Source organism: Homo sapiens, chromosome 4, assembly GCF_000001405.40.
Source record: "Homo sapiens chromosome 4, GRCh38.p14 Primary Assembly".
NCBI classification, from domain to species: Eukaryota; Metazoa; Chordata; class Mammalia; order Primates; family Hominidae; genus Homo; species Homo sapiens.
The window spans coordinates 102,844,504-102,864,264 of NC_000004.12; the positions used below are offsets into that span (position 1 = coordinate 102,844,504).

Here is a 19,761-nt window from a genome sequence, read left to right on the forward strand (position 1 = left end):
AGGAAACCAAAATAAAGATTGTTGTTAAAAGATACATATTACCACTACACATCTGGGACTGGAGAAATAGCCACAGTATGGGTCCTTCTGGATCTACTGTTAGCCACAGCCAGGCCAAGATTCCATCACTTGACTTCCTTAGGTTCCCTATTCTGACCAGTTGTCCAGGGTAGAGTTTTGGGTTTCTAGTATTAGTACAAGTTAAGAGACAGTGCCTTAAGAATTCTAGCCAGCCTGGGCCGGGCGGTGGGTCACGCCTGTAATCTCAGCACTTTGGGAGGCCGAGGTGGGTGGATCACGAGGTCAGCAGATCGAGACCATCCTGGATAACATGGTGAAACCCTGTCTCTACTAAAAATACAAAAAAATTTACCTAGGCATGGTGGTGGGCGCCTGTAGTCCCAGCTACTTGGGAGGCTGAGGCAGGAGAATGGCGTGAACCTGGGAGGCGGGGCTTGCAGTGAGCCGAGATCGCGCCACTGCACTCCAGCCTGGGCGACAGAGCAAGACTCCATCTCAAAAAAAAAAAAAAAAAAAGAATTCTACCCAGCCTGGCCAATATGACGAAACCCCATCTCTACCAAAAACACAGAAACTAGCTGGGAGTGATGGTGCATGCCTGCAGTCCCAGCTATTTGGGAGGTAGAGGTTGCAGTGAGCTGAGATTATGCCACTGCACTCCAGCCTGGGTGACAACAGAGCAAGACCTTGTCTCAAAAACAAAACAAAACAAAACAAAGAATTTTGGATATTTTCCTTTCTCTAGTGAATGGTCACTGGTCCCTATGGAAAAGGCTTAGGGCAATGATTCCCCCAACATATCTGCTCACTGGAAGTATCTGGGGAACTTGAAAAAATACTGATGCCTGGGTCTTCCCTGAGATTACTATTTAATTAGTTTGGGTTGTGGCCTGGGCTTTAGAATCCTAAGGTGTTCTAATGTACAGACAAGTTTGAGAACCCCACTGGATTAGGGAACAATTCGTTGTATACAGCTGTGATTGCATTGCCCCTTTCGTCAAAGGATCCAGTCTCTTTCCATCAGTGAAGGAGTACCAAGTCTGGGAGCTAGATGAGATGCTTCAAATTTTACTACAAAACCACAAGAATTTTTCCACCTATATATGTCAAGCAGCACCTTGGTAGGTTACTTTATTATATTTCCAGGGACCTCATGATCATTTAGCCATTATCACTTTTCCCTGTGGGTCAAACTACTCTGGTTAACGTTCTCTCCTTTGACTTATTTTGGTAATTGTGCCTACTTTGTCTCTGATATTTATTTATTTATATTTTTATGTTTTTTGAGACAGAGTCTTGCTCTGTTGCCCAGGCTGAGTGCAGTGGTGTGATCTCGGCTCACTGCAACCTCCACTTCCCAGGCTCAAGCCATTCTCTTGCCTCAGTCTCCTGAGTAGCTGAGACCACAGGCATGCACCATCACACCCAGCTAATTTTTGTATTTTTACTAGAGATGGGGTTTCACCCTGTTGGCCAGGCTGGTCTCGGACTCCTGGCCTCAAGTGATCTGCCTGCGTTGGCCTCCCAAAGTGCTGTGATTACAGACGTGAGCCACTGTGTCTGTCTTGTCTCTGATATTTATATGCCATTATGTGGCCTCTACTGCCTTAGGATTCTAATGTTCCCACTAAGATCAGCTAACTCAGTTCCACTACAGTGTTTACCACCATCATCTCTCGCAAACAAAGACAGCCACTTCAGAGCTCCTAGGAAATAGTGGTGCTCCCATCATCATTGCATTCCTTAATGACATGGTGAAAATTAACAATGGCTAAGGAGCCTTTGTGTTTTCTCCTCTACAATATGCCCAGGAATTTCTGGCATTTTGGCCATCTTATTTATAGGCTATTACTGAATTTAAGCCTCATCCTACCAAATTATTAATGCCAAAATATTAACTCTTGATTCTTAGGTGAGTGCACCCATGCCAATAAATTTGCCATGATCTAACCTTAAATGTATTCTCATATATGCTGTCCAAGTTTCTGCTGATTAAAATGGCAAGGCCTTTAGTTCTCCTACATAGGTTTTCTCTCTCCAGAGAAGGCCTCAATTCTCTGACTAGGCTATGTTGGGATATAACTGGAGGCACTAATAGGTAGTAGGGTAAATTCTTTATTTTATTATTTTTGGAGACAGGGAGGGTCTTGCTTTGTTCAGACTGGAGTGCAGTGGTGTGATCATGGCTCATTGCAACTTTGAACTCCTGGGCTCAAGTGATCCTCCCACCTCAACCTTCTGAGTAGCTGGGACTACAGGCGCAAACCACCATGCATGGCTAATTAAATTTTTTTTTTTTTTTAGAGACAGAGCCTTGCTGTGTTGCCTAGGCTAGTCTTGAACTCCTGGGCTCAAGCAGTCCTCCCACCTCAGCCTCCCAAAGGGCTGGGATTACAGGCATGAGCTACCATGCCTAGCCCCAGCCGGTAAATTCTGAGGAGAGCATGTATCAGCTTGTGAAGGAGCTTGCCCAAGTGCAATCACTGAAAGCCTCTATGCATAGGAGCCTGGTTTCCTCAGAAAGAGATTTAGGGGAAGATTGATGTTCAGAGTTTTCAGCTTCATTTTTCTCTGCTCAAATGTCCCTATCGTATGTCTTAGGACTCCTCTCCCCACCAATGTTCCAGCATTAGAATAGGAAAGGGGAAGAATTAAGCATGTAATTGATACTACAAATCTACCATATCTGCCCAGTGATTACAGAAGATAATCAACTCCTTCAGACCTGTAATAGAGTTCTCATGCTCCACATACAGTCATTTTCTTTTTGTTGTTGTTTATGATAGTGTCTCACTCCGTCGCCCAGGCTGGAGTGCAGTTGTGCAATCAAGGCTCACTGCAACCTCCACCTCCCAGGTTCAAGCGATTCTCATGCCTCAGCCTCCCAAGTAGCTAGGACTACAGGTGTGCGCCACCACACCCAGCTAATTTTTGTATTTTTTCATAGAGATGGGGTTTTACCATGTTAGTCAGGCTGGTCTTGAACTCCTGGCCTCAAGTGATCTACCCACCTCAGCCTCCCAAAGTGCTGGGATTACAGGTGTGAGCCACCGCACCTGGTCACCACATACAGTCTTAATTGTAGTTTTTATGTTTTTCTTTTTCTTATGTATTTTTCTTTTCTTTTCTTTTCGTTAGAGATAGGGTCCCACTCTATCACCCAGGCTGGAGTGCAGTGGCATGATCATAGCTTACGGCAGCCTCAAACTCCTGGGCTTAGACAACCCTCCTGCCTCAGCCTCCTGAGTTGCTGGGATAACAGGTGTGTGCCACCATGCGCAGCTAATTAAAAAAAAATTTTTTTAGAGATGGGGTCTTGCAGTGTTGCCCAGGCTGGCCTCAAACTCCTGGCTTCAAGAGATCCTCCCACCGTAGCCTCCCAAATAGGGGACTACAGGTATTAGCCACCATGCCCCTTAACCCACGTATGCCTAGCGTTCCATTATTGGAACGCTAAGCATGTGGGAATTATTTATAGCCTACTGCTCAAGGTCATCGCCAAGGTCTGATTTTTCACTCATGCAAAAATTCAAAAAATTGCAACCTCTGGCATAAACGGGTTAAGTACTTTCTGTTTCGGACCATAAGAAAAGCCAGATGGATCTATAATCTTTATAATTACTATGGTTATCATGGTGATACACTCCTCACCTGCTTCACTTGATTTCATGTTGTTACTGGTAATCCTAATACAACTGCAAACTGGCTGGGCACAGTGACTCCTTCCTGTAATCCCAGCACTTTGGGAGGCAAAGGCAGGAGGATCATTGGAGCTCAGGAGTTCAAGACCAGCCTGGACAATATAGTGAGACTCTGTCTCTACAAAAAAAGAAAAATAGGCCGGGCATGGTGGCTCACACCTGTAATCCTAGCACTTTGGGAGGCCGAGGTGGGTGGGTCACCTGAGGTCAGGAGTTCAAGACCAGCCTCGCCAACGTGGTGAAACTCTATCTCTACTAAAAATACAAAAATTAGCTGGGCGTGGTGGTGGGTGCCTGTTATCCCAGTTACTGGGGAGGCTGAGACAGGAGAATCGCATGAACCTGGGAGGCGGAGGATGCAGTGAGCCGAGATCACACCATTGCACTCAAGCCTGGGTGACAAGAGCGAAACTCCATCTCATAAATGAATAAAAAATAAATAAATAGGCTGGGTATGGTAGTGCACGCCTATAGTCCCAGCTATTTAGGAGGCTGAGGCAGGAGGATTGTTTGAGCCTAGGAGGTTGAGGCTGCAGTGAGCTATGGTCGCACCACTGCACTCCATTCTGGGCAATAGAGTGAGACCTTGTCTCAAAAAAAAGTAAACTAAATATTGTAAGCCATGGATTACCTGTAGTCTGTAGTCTCTTTCCTTATAGGAACGAGGTTATTCCTCTGATTGATTTTATGTGTGCCTGTGTGTGTGTGTGTGTGTGTGTGTGTGTGTGTGTGTGTGTGTGTCCAACCCAATCTCAAAATCTTACTTAAGGGTCCATTTCCTGTAATAACTTCTGTTGCAAATCACCATATCTTTAGAGTCTTAAGAAGAAATAGAGGACAGATTAAAAATAATTTAAGAAGGCTTGGCATGGTGGCTCATGCATGTAATCCCAGCACTTTGAGAAGCTGAGGCAAGAGGATGGCTTGAGCCCAGGAGTTTGAGACTAGCCGGGACAACATGGCAAAACCCCACTTCTACAAAAAAAAAACTAGCTGGGTGTGGTGGCACACACCTGTAGTCCCAGGTACTTGGGAGGCTAAGGTAGGAGGATCGCCTGAGCCCAGGAGGTTGAGGCTGCAGTGAGCCCTGGTTGTGCCACTACACTGCAACTTGGGTGACAGAGTGAGACCCCTGTCTCAAAAAAAAAAAAAAAAAAAAAGGAAATATACTGGTAAAATGTATTACATTAATAATTCTGTTTATCAAGGCACCATTACAAAAAGACTAACCACAATGTAAGAAAAGATACTGGCCACACATATATTTGACCAAGAACTCATATCCAGAATATATAAATGATTCCTAAAAATCAGTAAGAAAAAGAATGACAACCCAACAGAAATATGGGCAAGTGACTTTAACAGGCACTACAGAAAAGATCTCCAAAATGTCTCTGAAGGCCATTTTTGTGAAAAACAAAAACATCTCCAAATGTTAAGTACCATAAAATGGTGCTCAACTTCAATGGTCATCAAGTAAAAGGTTAATGTCAAAATGAGATACCACTACATTCGCATCAGAATGACCAAATTAAAAAGATTGACAATACCACGTGTTGACCACAGTGTGGAGAAAGTGAAACTTTGTCACACTGTTGTGGAGCAGTGACAGGGGACGGGGGACAGGGATTGGGTAAAGTTTCCATAAACTTGGAAAACTGTCATTCTTTACAAAATTTGAAAATACATCAATGACTAAGCAACTTTAATCCTAAGTATATACTCAACAGAAATGTCTTCACTTGCATGTGAAGAGACATACAGAAGAATGCACCATAATTGGTTAATAGCTTTAAAGTGGAAACAGCCCACTGAAATATCAACAATAAAATGGATAAATATATTTTATCCATTTAATAGAATATAGAAGTGAATATGAACAAACGATAAACACCACAGATCATTTTCAGAAATATAATGGTGAAAATATACATTACATAATTTCATTCATGTAAGACTCAAAACTAGGCAAAAATGATGTATGGTTAGAAATCAGAAGAGTGGTTACATTTGGGGAACAGTGACAGGATAGTTACTGGGAGCTCTCATAAGAAGGTTTCTATTTCCTGGGTGCTGGATACAGGGACACTCTGTGATAAATCACTCATTTTTGCATATATGCTATATTTCAATTTTTTAAAAGGGTGGTCCTTAAAAGATTATGATTTAGGGTTTACCACCTTGCCCCTCTCCATCAATTCAAATATTTCTTCCAGTTCAGATCCCACACCTTACATGAAGCCTTTCCCAACCATTTCAGCCAGAAGGAATTTCTCTTTCTTCCTGGTTTTTATGCCATGTTCTCTGGGAGGTAGTGTAATATAGTGGAAATAGTATAGGCTAAGGAACTTGGACTTTAATCTGTGTGGCAATAAAGAGCAGAAGAGTGACTCGGTCAGACTTGTATCTACCTACCACAAATTTAACCAATTTTACTTATATTTCTCTGTGAACAAATATGAAAATTTATACACATATATTAAATATAAATATATAGCTTTTATACCACGGAATACTACTCAGCCATAAAAAGAAATGAAATAATGGCATTCACAGCAACTTGGATGGAGTTGGAGACCATTATTCTAAGTGAAGTAACTCAGGAATGGAAAACCAAACATCATTATGTTCTCACTTATAAGTGGGAGCTAAGCTATGAAGATGCAAAGGCTTAAGAATGATACAGTGGACTTGGGAACTTTGTTGGGGGCGGGTGAGAGGGGGGTGAGGGATAAAAGACTACGCATTGGCTACAGTGTACATTGCTCAGGTGACAGGTGCACCAGAATCTCAGAAATCATCACTAAAGAACTTATCCATGTAACCAAAACCCACCTGTTCCCCACAAACTATTGAAATAAAAATTTAAAAATACATAAAATGTGTAATTTGTGAGATTGTTACAATATTTGCCCTCAATAAATCATGCCTACTTTGTTCATGCATCTTTGCAATGTGCTTTTGCCACTTTTCCCATCAAAGGCTTTATTTCCTTACCCCTTGAATCTAGCTATCTTTGTGACTTGCTTTGACCACAGAATGCAAATAGATGTGACTTTGTACAACTTCTTAGACTAGGTCTAGAGAAGCTTCACAGCTTTTTTCACCGTTTGGAACACTGCACTGAGACCACTATGTTATAAATCTGGGAGTGAAAGACAGTGTAAAGGCAGCCACAGGAGTGAACACAGGGGAGACTAACAGAACTTTCTGGCCAAATCACAGTGTGGTGAGAGAGAATAAATCATGTTGTTTTAAGCCACTGTTTTGGAATGCATGTGTAATGCAGAAGTAGATAATTTGTAGGAAACAGAGTCCCTTTTCCATTACCTAGCTCACCTATTTACTCTGTTGTGGCAGAGAATACAATTATTTCCCAATGTCCTTTCTCCTCTTCTTCCTTTAATATTAGAACCCCCATTTTTTTTTGTTTTGTTTTGTTTTTTGTTTTTTTTTTTTGAGACGGAGTCTTGCTCTGTCTCCCAGGCTGGAGTGCAATGGTGTGATCTCAGCTCACTGCAACCTCTGCTGCCTGGGTTCAAGCAATTCTCCTGTCTCAGCCTCCCAAGTAGCTGGGACTACAGGTGCACGCCACCACACCTGGCTAATTTTTTTGTATTTTTAGTAGAGACGGGGTTTCACAGTATTGGTCAGGCTGGTCTCGAACTCCTGACCCTCAGGTGATCCACCCACCTCAGCCTCCCAAAGTGCTGGGATTACAGGCGTGAGCCACCGTGCCCGGCAGAACCCCCATATGTTAGCTGGGTACATTGCTACATGGATAGTGACTATAATTTCCTAACTCTCTTGAAAGTTTGGCCATGTAACTATTGGCCCATGGGTCGTAAGTGGAAATGGTGGCTCCAACTTCTATGATACGCCCTTAGAAAGAAGAGGTATACTCTTTTACTATTTCCTGTTCTCAAATGTATCATGGCAGGAGCTGGAACTACCACCTTAGGCCATGAAATAGAAGCCACATATTCACATATTGAGTAGATCAGATTAAAAAGCTAAAAGTAGCTTGAGTACCTAATATCCAGAGCTGCTCTATCAGTCCTGAACCGATTATCCTTGGACTATGAGAGAAAAAGAAATTTACATCTTATGTCATTACTGTTTTGACCTGAGAGCAAGCAAACCTATAATCCCAAGTAATATGTGTTTTTCACATTCCCTCGTATATATATGTTCATGTATATATATACATTTACAAATATAAATATCCATATGTGCACACACAAATATGTAAACATCTCTATAGGTATTGGTGTATTTTGTTTTACAGATTGAGATCCTGCACTTTTCTCCATCTTTTTCTCATTTAGCAATATCTGGAAATGACAACTCATACAACTTGAATTCATTCCTTTTGATAGCTGTATAATATTTTATAGGATGCAGGAGTTGTAATTCATTCTGCTGTTTTCCTACTGATTAGCTTTCATTTTGTTACCCTTTTTTCCACTATGAATATTTTTGTGAATAGAACCTTATGTATTTCTATAGAACAGATTCCCAAGAATGGTACAGCAAGGACAAAAGATATCTGTAGCTTAAAAAATTTTAATACAGGTTGTCAGACTGTTTTACGAATAAGTTGAAAAATTTCACATTTATGCCAGCTATCTATAACAATACCCTTTTACTTGGACCCCTCACCAGCCATAGTTGCTATTGGTCATTTAACATTTTTCCCAGTCTGAAAAGATGTTTCACCTCACTTGTGACAAGAGAAATGCATAGTAAAATTTTACTGAGATTAAACATTTCTGCTTATTAGTCCCAAATCCAACAGTTTGAATAACATACTCTAATAACAATGCTGTGGGGGCACTCTCATCTGTTTATACAGCACCTATGGAGAGAAATTTGGCAATATCTGTCAAAATTACACACAAACACACACATTTTTTTTTTTTTTTTTTTTTTTTTGAGACGGAGTTTCGCTCTGTCGCCCAGGCTGGAGTGCAGTGGCGGGATCTCGGCTCACTGCAAGCTCCGCCTCCCGGGTTCACGCCATTCTCCTGCCTCAGCCTCCCGAGTAGCTGGGACTACAGGCGCCCGCCACTACACACACATCTTTAACTTAGCAATCTCTTTTCTGTGAATTTATCCAGCAGATATCTTGAACATGTGAGACAAAATTATGTACATTATTATTCAATGATACTGTTTTTAAAAGCTGAAGACTGAAAACAATGTCCATGTCCATCATAAGGTCTAGTAAAATAAGTTCTGGCATTCATGTAGTGGAATACTAAGCAGCCATTAAAAGATAAGGAATCTCATTATGGAGTTACATAAATAATTCTAAGATATATTGTAAACTAATATATGTAGGACAGTGTATATATTGTTATCTTTATTTTTAAAATGGAGAATAATATAAATTTGTATTTTTCTGTAAAATATCTGGGAAGGTATGCAAAAAACTAATAAAAGTATTAATGGGATAGGTGGTGGTGTTATGAGAAATTGGTGAACAGGAGATCATGGGAGACTGAAACGCAAAACATCTGTCTCTCTCTACACATACAGTATCTGAATGAACTATCTATTCAAAAAGGAAAGAAAAATAGCTCCTATAGAGTGAATTCAATTTCGCCTACTGTGAGTTTTATGATCCTCACTTTCATCAACTGAATAAAAGGGATAAGATCCACTTCAAAGTACTTTCTGAACACTAAATTAGAGGTGTGCTTAGCTCAGTGTCTGTCCATATTAGGCACTCAGTAAATGTTAGTTGAATTAAAAAAAAATTGTCAGTCTGTTAGACTAACTGGCATCTTATTATTTTAATTTTCATTTTCCTGATTTCTCCTGATTCTGAGCCTCTTTTCATATTTGGATTTATTATTCTCTGAATTCATATTATTTGCCCATCCATTCTTCTGTTGAATTGCTTGTTCCCTTGATGTGAATTTCTGAGTTCCCTGATTAAACCTCCTTGCAAATATTTTTCTAAATTTGTTGTGTATCTATTAATTTCGTTTAGATTTTTTTTGCAAACAAATGTTATTTTTATATTGACAAATGTGTATATTTTTTAAGGATAATGTATATTCTGCTGTTCTTACATGAAGTATTCTATAAATGTCAACTAGATCCAGTAGATTAATGATACTACAGTTCAATTTTTACTGATTTTCTGCCTGCTGGATGAATTATTGAAAGAGAGATATTGAAGTCTCTGTGATACTGGATTTGTCTATTTCTCTTCGTGGTTCTATCAGTTTTTGCCTTACACATTTTAATGCTGTTAGGTGCATATATGTTAAAGATTGTTTTATCTTTTTGGAGAATTTACCTCTATACTTACGTAATGCTTCTCTCTATCCCTGACAGTTTTCCTTTTTCTGAAATCTGCTTTGTCTGACAATATAGCAACTCCAGCTTTCTTTTTATTAGTTTTAGCATGGCAGATCTTTCTTTATTTACTTTTCACCTATCTATGTCTTTATATTTAAAGTGAGTTTCTTACATATGGTTCCTGAAAAAATGAAAAACTAGTAAAGGCTGTTGTCTTCCTCCCTCCAAATCAACCCTGAGTAACAACAGAAACAAGAAGGAAGCAAAAGCTTGAGGAATAAGATCAAAAACTTAAGAGGAAACCATAGTTAGTGTTAGGAGTAAGTTCTGAAATACTGTTTTGCCATGCCCCACTTTGCTTTGGGACAATCAGTGCCAAACTACTGATTGCTACAGAAATCACCAGCAACAGATCAGGCTTCCTGTAGGATTAGATAAAGGGTCTGTTGAAGTGAGTTGCCAATGAAAAAGTGGGGCTGACCAGATACTATAGAATATTGGGGCATTCACCCCTCCACTCCTTCCCTGCTGCCAGAATTTTGATAAATTATAACAGCCTTCTGCTGCTGGATTGTGGATTTCAACACAGATCCTTACTAGAGAAACAGTAGCAAAGAGAGAGCATCAGTTCTGTGGTTGCCTACAGCTCTTGCTTTCTGCTCCTTAAACTTGTGGGAAGGGATAAAAACGAGGGTCTGCCATTTTGCTCTACCTTTCTATCCATTATTAGAAGGGGTAGTAGATAACACTAGGAGAACATGGCTTGTGAACCAAAATATCTAGACACCTGAGGAGTATGATCACTATCAAACACAACAAATTCTACAACATGTACCAACAGAAGTAGAATAATAGGATATACCAATACTTTTAATAACTCAATTATTCATTCAACACAATTTGTAAAGATACAGGGTCTCACTCTGTTGCCCAAGCTGGAGCAATCATAGTTCACTTCATGCAGCCTTGAACTCTTGGGCTCAAGCAATCCTCCTGCCTCAGCCTTCTTGCTAGCTGGGATTACAGGTGTGTGCCACCACACCCACCTAATTTTTAGAATATTGTTTATAGAGACGAGGTCTTGCAACGTTTCCCAGGCTGCTTCAAACACCTGGCCTCAAGCAATCATCCTGCCTTGGCCTCCTGAAGTGCTGTGATTACAAGCATGAGCCGTTGTGCCCAGTTCATTCAGCAGTTTTTTACTGAACACCTACCAAGTGTCAGGTACTAAGGATTCATCAGTCAACAAGATAGGTAAATAATTTTGTTCATGTGGGACATGGCAAGGGGGACAGAGACAAAAAGATACAAATTAACTAAATAATAAACAATTTTGGAAGGTAATATTTACTACCAAAACAATGCAGAGTAGGTAGATTGGGACTGATGAAAGGGTTGCCATTTTAAAATGAAACCCATCCTAAAATAGGAGCCACAAAGATGCAGGGTTGCGGTGAGGCTGGTAATATGTGAAGAGTGAACAAGAAACCATAAAGCCATATGAGATTATTAGGTGTGGAAAAATATGAGCTAAAATAAGGATCATAGCTGGGCATGGTGGCTCATGCCTGTACTCCCAGCATTGTGAAAGGCCTAGGCAGGCAAATCACTTAAGGCCAGGAGTTCAAGACCAGCCTCGCTAACATGGCAAAACTCTGTCTCTACTAAAAATACAAAAATTAGCCAGGCATGGTGGCGCAAGCCTGTGATCCCAGCTACTCGGAAGGCTGAGGCACCAAAAATTTCTTGCAACTGGGAGGCAGAGGCTGCAGTGAGCTGAGATTGCGCCACTGCACTCCCGTCTGGGCAACAGAGCAAGACGGTCTCAAAAATAATAATGAATAAAAAATTAAAAAATAAAGAACATCATAGATAAATAGCAGGTGGATTGGATCTTATGATGCTTTTGAGATACAGAATTTTAATATTTTTGTGCAGTTAAAATCTCTAGAACTTTTCCTTTGTGCTTTCTAGTGCTTTCATGCTTTGAAAAAACCTTTTTATCCAGAGATATTTTTAGGTTGATAATTAAAATATTTAAAATCATAATATTCGTATATGGAAAGAAATTCAAACAAAATAAGATACTAGAAAGTAAAAGGCCTCATCTACTGTCTCTCCTCCTTTCCTCAGAAGTTATCATTTTTCTAGGTATCCTTCTAGAAATGTTCTATGTATAATCAAATACATGTAATTTTTAAAATTTATAAATAGGATACTATACATACTTTCTACAATTTGCTTTTTTCATTCACACATATGGCCCTACTCCAGAGATTGAGGTTTTAAATATCAGGAAGAATTTTATTTAGAAGGCAAAACTACAGAGACAAAAGATAATTGGTTACCCAGGGGTATAAGGTAGGTAGGGGTAAATAGGTGGAGCATAGGGCACTTATAGGGTAATAAAATGATTATGTATGCTACTATTATGGTGGACACATGACACTATGCAGTTGTCAAAATTGATAGAACTATACAGCACAGAGTGACCCCTAATGTTAACTATGGATTTTAGTTAATAATGTAGCAGTACTGGTTCATCAGTTGTGACAAATGTACCACACTAATGCAGGATATTAATAGGAGAAATGGTGTGTGTTGGGTTAGAGGGTGACATATGGGAATCTGTATTTTCTGCCCTGTTCTTCTGTAAATTTAAAGCTATTCTTTAAAAAGTCTTTGAAAAAACTTCATTTAGAAAAACTATTCTTAAAGCTTTGTATAGAATATTTTAAAATTGGAGGCTAGAGGTCACATATCTGGTAGACTGTTGCTATGGCCCAAACATAAAATAATAAAGGACTATACTATGGTAGCAAATAAAATTACTTTGAATAGGTTTGCTAATACCTAAGAAAATTTCACATTAGAAATTGAGTGGAATTTAAAGTTTCTAATATAAAGAAATCATGTGTCAAACATAGTGTTAATCAAAAATAGGAAAAAACAATATGCATAAAAATTATGAGAACAAAAGGAAATGTGGCTGAAAAGATGCTAATAGCCATAACATGTTGAATATGTTGTTTCTTTTTAAAGTTAACATGACACAGAGGAACCAGGAAATGCGTCTACTGCATTTAGTTTTATTTATGTTCTTAAATTGTTTATTTCCAGATTTCTGTAACATGTATATATATTTTTAAATTCAATTTTATTTTGTGTGTGTGTGTGATGGAGTATCACTCCCTCGCCTAGGCTGGAGTGCAGTGCTGCGATCTCAGCTTATTACAACCTCTGCCTCCCGGGTTCAAGCAATTCTTCTGCCTCAGCCTCCTGAGTAGCTAGGATTACAGGCATGCACCACCATGCCTGGCTAATTTTTTTGTATTTAGTAGAGACAGGGTTTCACCATGTTGGCCAGGCTGATCTCGAACTCCTGACCTCGTGATCCACCTGCCTTGGCCTCCCAAAGTGCTGGGGTTACAGGCATGAGCCACCGTGCCCGGCCTGTATTTTCTTAAAAGATCAGCCATTACCAAGTTATTATTGGATGCCTTTAATCTCTTTTGTTAGTGTATCCATATTCCAATAAAAATTTATTTATAAAAACAGGCAGTGGTCTGCTCTATAGGATCTTGCACTAATAAGTTACTTTAATTCTTTAAGGTTGTCTTGAGAATTAAAACACATAATGTACAAATAAAACACCATGATTTGGCATATAGTAAGCACTTGAAAATAGTAGTGGCTATTTTATTAAAATAGTGTGTTATCATACAGCTCAAAATGCTGATAAGATGAATCTGAAATTCAGACTTAAAAGTATTTTTATTATAGTAACAAGGTTATATTTGGGATTTTAAGTTTTGTTCTACCACCAGTGGTAGTTTAAGGCTTCTTGTATAACGGTTCTTTGTGATGTTTTTCTTGTCAGAGACACGTGTGATGAACTCTTGGGACATGTTCCACTACTTGGGGATCCTGGTATTTCCTTGCTCAGTTTTCACAAGAAATAGGTTTGGCATCTCTAGGAGTATCAAATGAAGATGTTCAGAAACGACACAAGGTGTCGTTTAAAGTTTAAAGTCATTTTCGACTTTAAAAAATATTCTATTGATATCCATTAATAATGTAGTAAAAGCTTCCAAGTTACTATAAAGTAATGGTTCTGGAAAGAGCATGTTAATTTAAAAAAATAACTACTTTAGGTATGATTGACATGTAAAGCTGTATATATTGTATATAATACAATTAGTTTGGGGATACATTCTAATCATTTATGATAATAACAACTTAGATCTCATACAAAAACTCGACACTTTAACTCATCTATCCTCTCCCACATTGTTATCGATGTCAAAATTTACATTTTTATATTGTGCATCAATTAACAAATTACTGTAGCTATAGTTATTTTTAATACTTTTAACTCAGAGTTAAAAATGATTTTATGTATCACCATTACATTACAGTATTCTGAATGTAACTCTATACTTCCCTTTACCAGGGAGTTTCATACTTTCACGTTTTCATGTTGCTAATTAGCATCCTTTAGTTTCCACTTGAAGTACTTCAACTTTAGTTTCAGTTTTAGCATTTCTTGTGAGGCAGGTCTAGTGGTGATGAACTCCCTCAGCTTTTGTTTTTGTGGAAAAGTCTTCATCTTTCCTTTTCTGAATGACAGCTTTGTGGGTAAATTATTCTTAGTTGGGAGGCTTTTCTTTTCTTTCAGTATTTTGAGTATATCATCCCATTCTCTTCTGGCTTGCAAGGTTTGCTGAAAAACCTGCTGAAAGTCTTATAGGAGCTCCCTTGTACATGACAAGTTGCTTTCCTCTGCTGCTTTCAAATTCTTTGTCATTAACTTTTGAAAATTTGATCATAATGTGTCTCAGTGAAAAAATTTTCATATCAGACAGGTAATGTGCCAGTGTTTTGGCAAGGTCTGAGAAAGGCACATCTTACACAATGGTATGAAAACCCAATCATCATGCTTATGAACCACAAAAAGATCAATGAAGACATCTTTATGTTCAACCTACATGGAATTCTTTGGGAATTGTGGATCTGGATGTTCATTTTCCTCCCCAGATTTGGGCAGTTTTCTGCTATTATTTCTTTAAATAAGCAATCTGCCTCCTTTCTCTTTCTCTGCTTGCTCTACCACTTCTATAATGCGCATATTGGTTTAGAGTCCTGTAGGCTTACTTTATTATTTTTCCTCTTTGTTCCTTTGACTGGATAATATCAAATGATCTGTCTTCAAGTTCATTGATTCTTCCTTCTGCTTGATTCAATCTGCCACTGAAGCTCACTTTTGAATTTTTCAGTTCAGTTATTGTGTTCTTTAGTTTCAGAATTTGATTTGTTTTTTTTTTTTGATATGGAGTCTCGCTCTGTCACCCAGGCTGGAGTGCAGTGGCGTGATCTCAGCTCACTGCAAGCTCTGCCTCCCGGGTTCACACCATTCTCCTGCCTCAGCCTCCTGAGTAGCTGGGACTACAGGCACCCACCACCACTCCTGGCTAATTTTTTTTGTAATTTTAGTAGAGACGGCGTTTCACCATGTTAGCCAGGATGGTCTCGATCTCCTAACCTCATGATCCACACGCCTCGGCCTCCCAAAGCACTGGGATTACAGGCGTGAGCCACCGCGCCCAGCCAGAATTTGATTGTTTAGTGGTTTCTTTGTTGAAATTCTCATTTGTTCATGTATTGTTTTCCTGATTTCGTTTAGCTCACTGAGATTCAAGGTGAGTGTTCTGAATTCTTTATCAGGTAATTTATAGGTCTCTGTTTCTTTGGGGTCAACTGCTAGAACTTTAATTTGTTCCTTTGGTTGTCATGTTTTCTTGGTGTGTGTGTGTGTGTGTTCAACTGCTAGAACTTTAATTTATTCCTTTGGTTGTCATGTTTTCCTGGTGTGTGTGTGTGTGTGTATGTGTGTGTGTGTGTGTTCTTTTAAGCCTTGTCTTCTAACTTTGCATCTGAAGAAAGAGTCACTTCCTCCAGTCTTTACTGACTAGCTTCAGAAGGGAAAGACGTTCACCAGTCAGCCTGACTAGAGATTCTGAAGGTCTCTCAGACCTTTTCTATGATATGCCCATTCCATTCCTCTTGTTCTGTCTTGGGAGGGGAAGTCTTAGGATTGTGTGCTTTCTTTCAATCTCACAAAGCTAGACTATGTGCTGAGAACCTCCTTTTATTTTCTCTAGTGCAGTGCCTCAGAGTGTTCAAGGTTGTGTGCTTTCTTCCAATCCAGCAGGAGCCAGTTGCTGATATCTGTGTGCTATCTGCTGGGGCCTGCATACACTATCTGCAGGGGAGGTTGGGCTGCTGGCTAGTGGGTGGGTGCATGGAGTGCTGGGTGTGCTTGTCAGTTGAGGGGTTCTGCAGGTGAAGTGTCCTGTAGGGCTCATGGGTGAGCCTATGGTGGAGTCTGCAAGCCAGTTAGGAGACTCCACATCTAGCTCTGAAGAATCATGTGTTGGTTGCTATAAGCCTCTGCTTCTTTTCCCTTCTCCTAGATATTCCTAGACTATTCATCTGTGAAGAGTCCCTCAGTATTCTGGATAGGGAAAAACAGAAGTGAGCCTTTTGGGCGGCAACACGCAAGGCTAGGGAAGCTGGGCACTCACTTGACTCTTACTTTCCTTCCTGGGAGAACTCATGGGCCAAAAGGGCCTCTCTTGGCACTGAACTCTGCTGCCTTGGAGGAGAAGGATGTAGGTAAAGTGAAACTGTTTTTCTTACCCTCTTCAATGTGTCTATTCTTGAGTTTTTCATTCTACTGGGGTGCTGGAACCTCTTAGCAGGTCTCCCAGGCTCCCAAAATGGTATTTGGTATTTCTGCAGGGGTTTGAGGGCTGGAACCTACTAATCCACCAACTTGCTGATGTCAGTCAGGGTGCCTTTAATCTGAATAGTATTATTTCACACAGAATGCTATCTCTGAGTTTAGTAGCTCAGAGGCAAAATATAAACAGTTAAATATATAAAGTAACATTATTAAATCTCACATTTATTCTGTGCACAACTACAATATCGCAAAGCATTATGCAGGTTCCTTCTTCATGCCTAGTTCATCGGTGCTTGGAGTAGCTAGTTCCATAAACTTCTGAGGTAATAAGAATCTGCCTTGTTATTTTATTATTTAATGACTATATTTATAGATTACAGTAACCATGGAATTTCTAAGGCAAAAAAGATGGCTTCCAAAATAGCAAAAGAAACTTCAAAGATCTATGGAATTAAGCTTTTAATTATGCACATATGCATATACAATTATGTATATCATATATGTGCTTTGTAACCATAATCTTTTGTCTAGTCAATGACTGCAAAAGTGGTATGTCAGTATACACTTACAGAATTATAGAAAAGAGAAGCTTTCTTCAGAGCTCACTCTATTCTATCATGTGTTTGCTTGTTTATTTATTTATTATGGATTGACTGACAGGGTCTCACTCTGTTGCTCAGGCTGGGGTGCAGAGGCATAATCATACCTCACTGTAACCTTAAACTCCTGGCCTGAGGTGATCCTCCCACCTTGGCTATATAGATAATTCTATATACTGTTAGTTTTTAGTACCACAAAGTGTTATGGAAGGTGATTTCAAAATAGTTTCGCCATGTTATTGATTTATAGATCCCAGTTTTGTTTCTTTAGTTTTCCATTTATTTCTAGTTTGCTGGACTTCCTCTTAAAACTGTGGGGTTAAGGCAAGGCAGTTCCAAATGTAGTTCCTCATACACAAAGGGGAAGTAAGAACACCAAACACCAAAATCAAAATGTTCTAATAAAAAAAGTTTATCTCTTTAAAATGTTGAATAGACAGATTTAATAATAATTCTTTTTTTAAAAAAATTGATTAGTTTCTCATATGATAATCATTATTTTAACCCCAACCTATAGTCCACTGTAAGTATCCTTTTAATTTGTTAAAGCATATTAGTTGTTCCATTAATTTCATCTACTTTTCCAATCCATCAATCTGTGATTCCTTTTACCTTTCTCTTATTTTGGGTTTCTTATACCTTGATCAAATGTCCTACTTTTTCTTAGTTTATTCCTCATTTAGGTGGAACACATCCTCTATTAGCTTTCTGAGAAGAGAATGCGTAGATTGTGTATTTTTTAAACCTTTTAGGTTTGAAAATGAGTTTATTGTAGTTTCACAATGGGTTCTTGGTTTGGATTGGTATAGAATTCTAAATTATAGGTAGTTTTTCTTCAGATATTTTAAGAATTGCCCTTTAACTACCAGAGCTACTGTTAAGAAGTCCAGTACATTTAACTTTTGTAGTATGTGTCTCAGTCTGTTTGGGTTGCTGTAAAGGAATACCTGAGGTTGGGTCATTTATTTAAATAAGAGGTTTATTTGGCTCATGGTTCTGCAGGCTGTACAAGAAGCATGATGCCAGTATCTGCTTCTTGTGAAATCTTCAGACTGCTTACACTGAGGGCAGAAGGCAAGAGGAACCCATGAATACACAGTTCACATGGTGAGAGAGAAAGGCCAGAAGTGAGGGGTATGGGTATGCCCAGGCTTCTTTGTTTTTCTTTGTTTTTTTTTTCTTTTTTTGAGACAGAGTCTCACTCTGTGGCCCATGCTGGAGTGCAGTGGCACAATCTTGGCTCATAGCAACCTCCGTCTCCCAGGATCAAGCGATTCTCCTGCCTCAGCCTCCCAAGTAGCTGGGATTACAGGTGTGTGCCACCACACCCAGCTAATTTTTGTATTTTTAGTAGAGATGGGGTTTCACTATGTTGGCCAGTCTGGTCTCGAACTCCTGACGTCAGGTGAGCCACCCACCTTGGCCTCCCAAAGTGCCGGGATTACAGGCGTGAGCCACCGAGCCCGGCCCCAGGCTCTTTTTAACAACTACCTCTCACAGGAGCGAACAGAGTAAGAACTAATTATCACAAGGACTATACCAAACCATTCAGGAGGGAACCACCCCTATGACCCAAACACCTCCCACTAGGCCCTACCAACAACATTGGGGATCAAATTTCTTTTTCTTTTTTGAGACAGTCTCACTCTGTGACCCAGGCTGGTTGCAGTGGTACAATCTCAGCTCACTGCAACCTCCATCTCCCGGGTTCAAGTGATTCTCATGCCTCAGCCACCTGAGTAGCTGGGGTTACAGGTATGTGCTACCACACCTGGCTAATTTTTGTATTTTTAGTAGAGATGGGGTTTCACCATGTTGGCCAGGCTGGTCTTGAACTCCTGGTCTCAAGTGATCTGCCCAGCTCAGCCTCCCAAAGTGCTGGGATTACAGACGTGGGTCACCGTGCCCAGCTGGGATCAAATTTCAATATGAGACTTGGAGGGGTCAAACAAACCACATCTAGAGAAAGAGCTCCAGAAATCTGCATGGGGTTCCTTAAGCATTTTATATTAGTAACAATCTTACATACTCAATAGCCATGTTATTAGTATTGACACATTACATAATTACATTGATCATGTAGATCTAGACCAACCACTGTGAAAAAAACAAGGTGCAGCTAATAATAAAAAAGATGAGTTGATAATGAGGTAAAAAAAATGATGAAGATGAAATATCATACTAACTATGCATGTATATGTGCCAGGTACTGTTTTAATTGCTATCTATGTCTTAATTCAGTGAATATACACAACACAACCTTAAGATGTAGGTATTACCTACATTTTTACAGGTTATATAATTTATCCTAGTAGAATCAGAATTGTAGTCTAAACAGTGTGGCTCCAAGAGTCTACAGTCTTAACTATAATGCTGTATGTAA

General features: G+C 39.5%; 1 protein-coding gene and 1 non-coding gene across 3 annotated transcripts in view; both read right to left on the reverse strand.

Moving 5' to 3' along the window:
* UBE2D3 (ubiquitin conjugating enzyme E2 D3) overlaps positions 1–19,761 on the reverse strand; it is a 74,513-nt gene that overhangs the window by 50,121 nt on the left and 4,631 nt on the right. The window lies entirely within an intron of this gene.
* On the reverse strand, positions 14,890–14,993 carry LOC124900903 (small nucleolar RNA U13). Its single transcript, XR_007058545.1, has one exon. It is a non-coding gene; the product is annotated as a small nucleolar RNA U13 (small nucleolar RNA).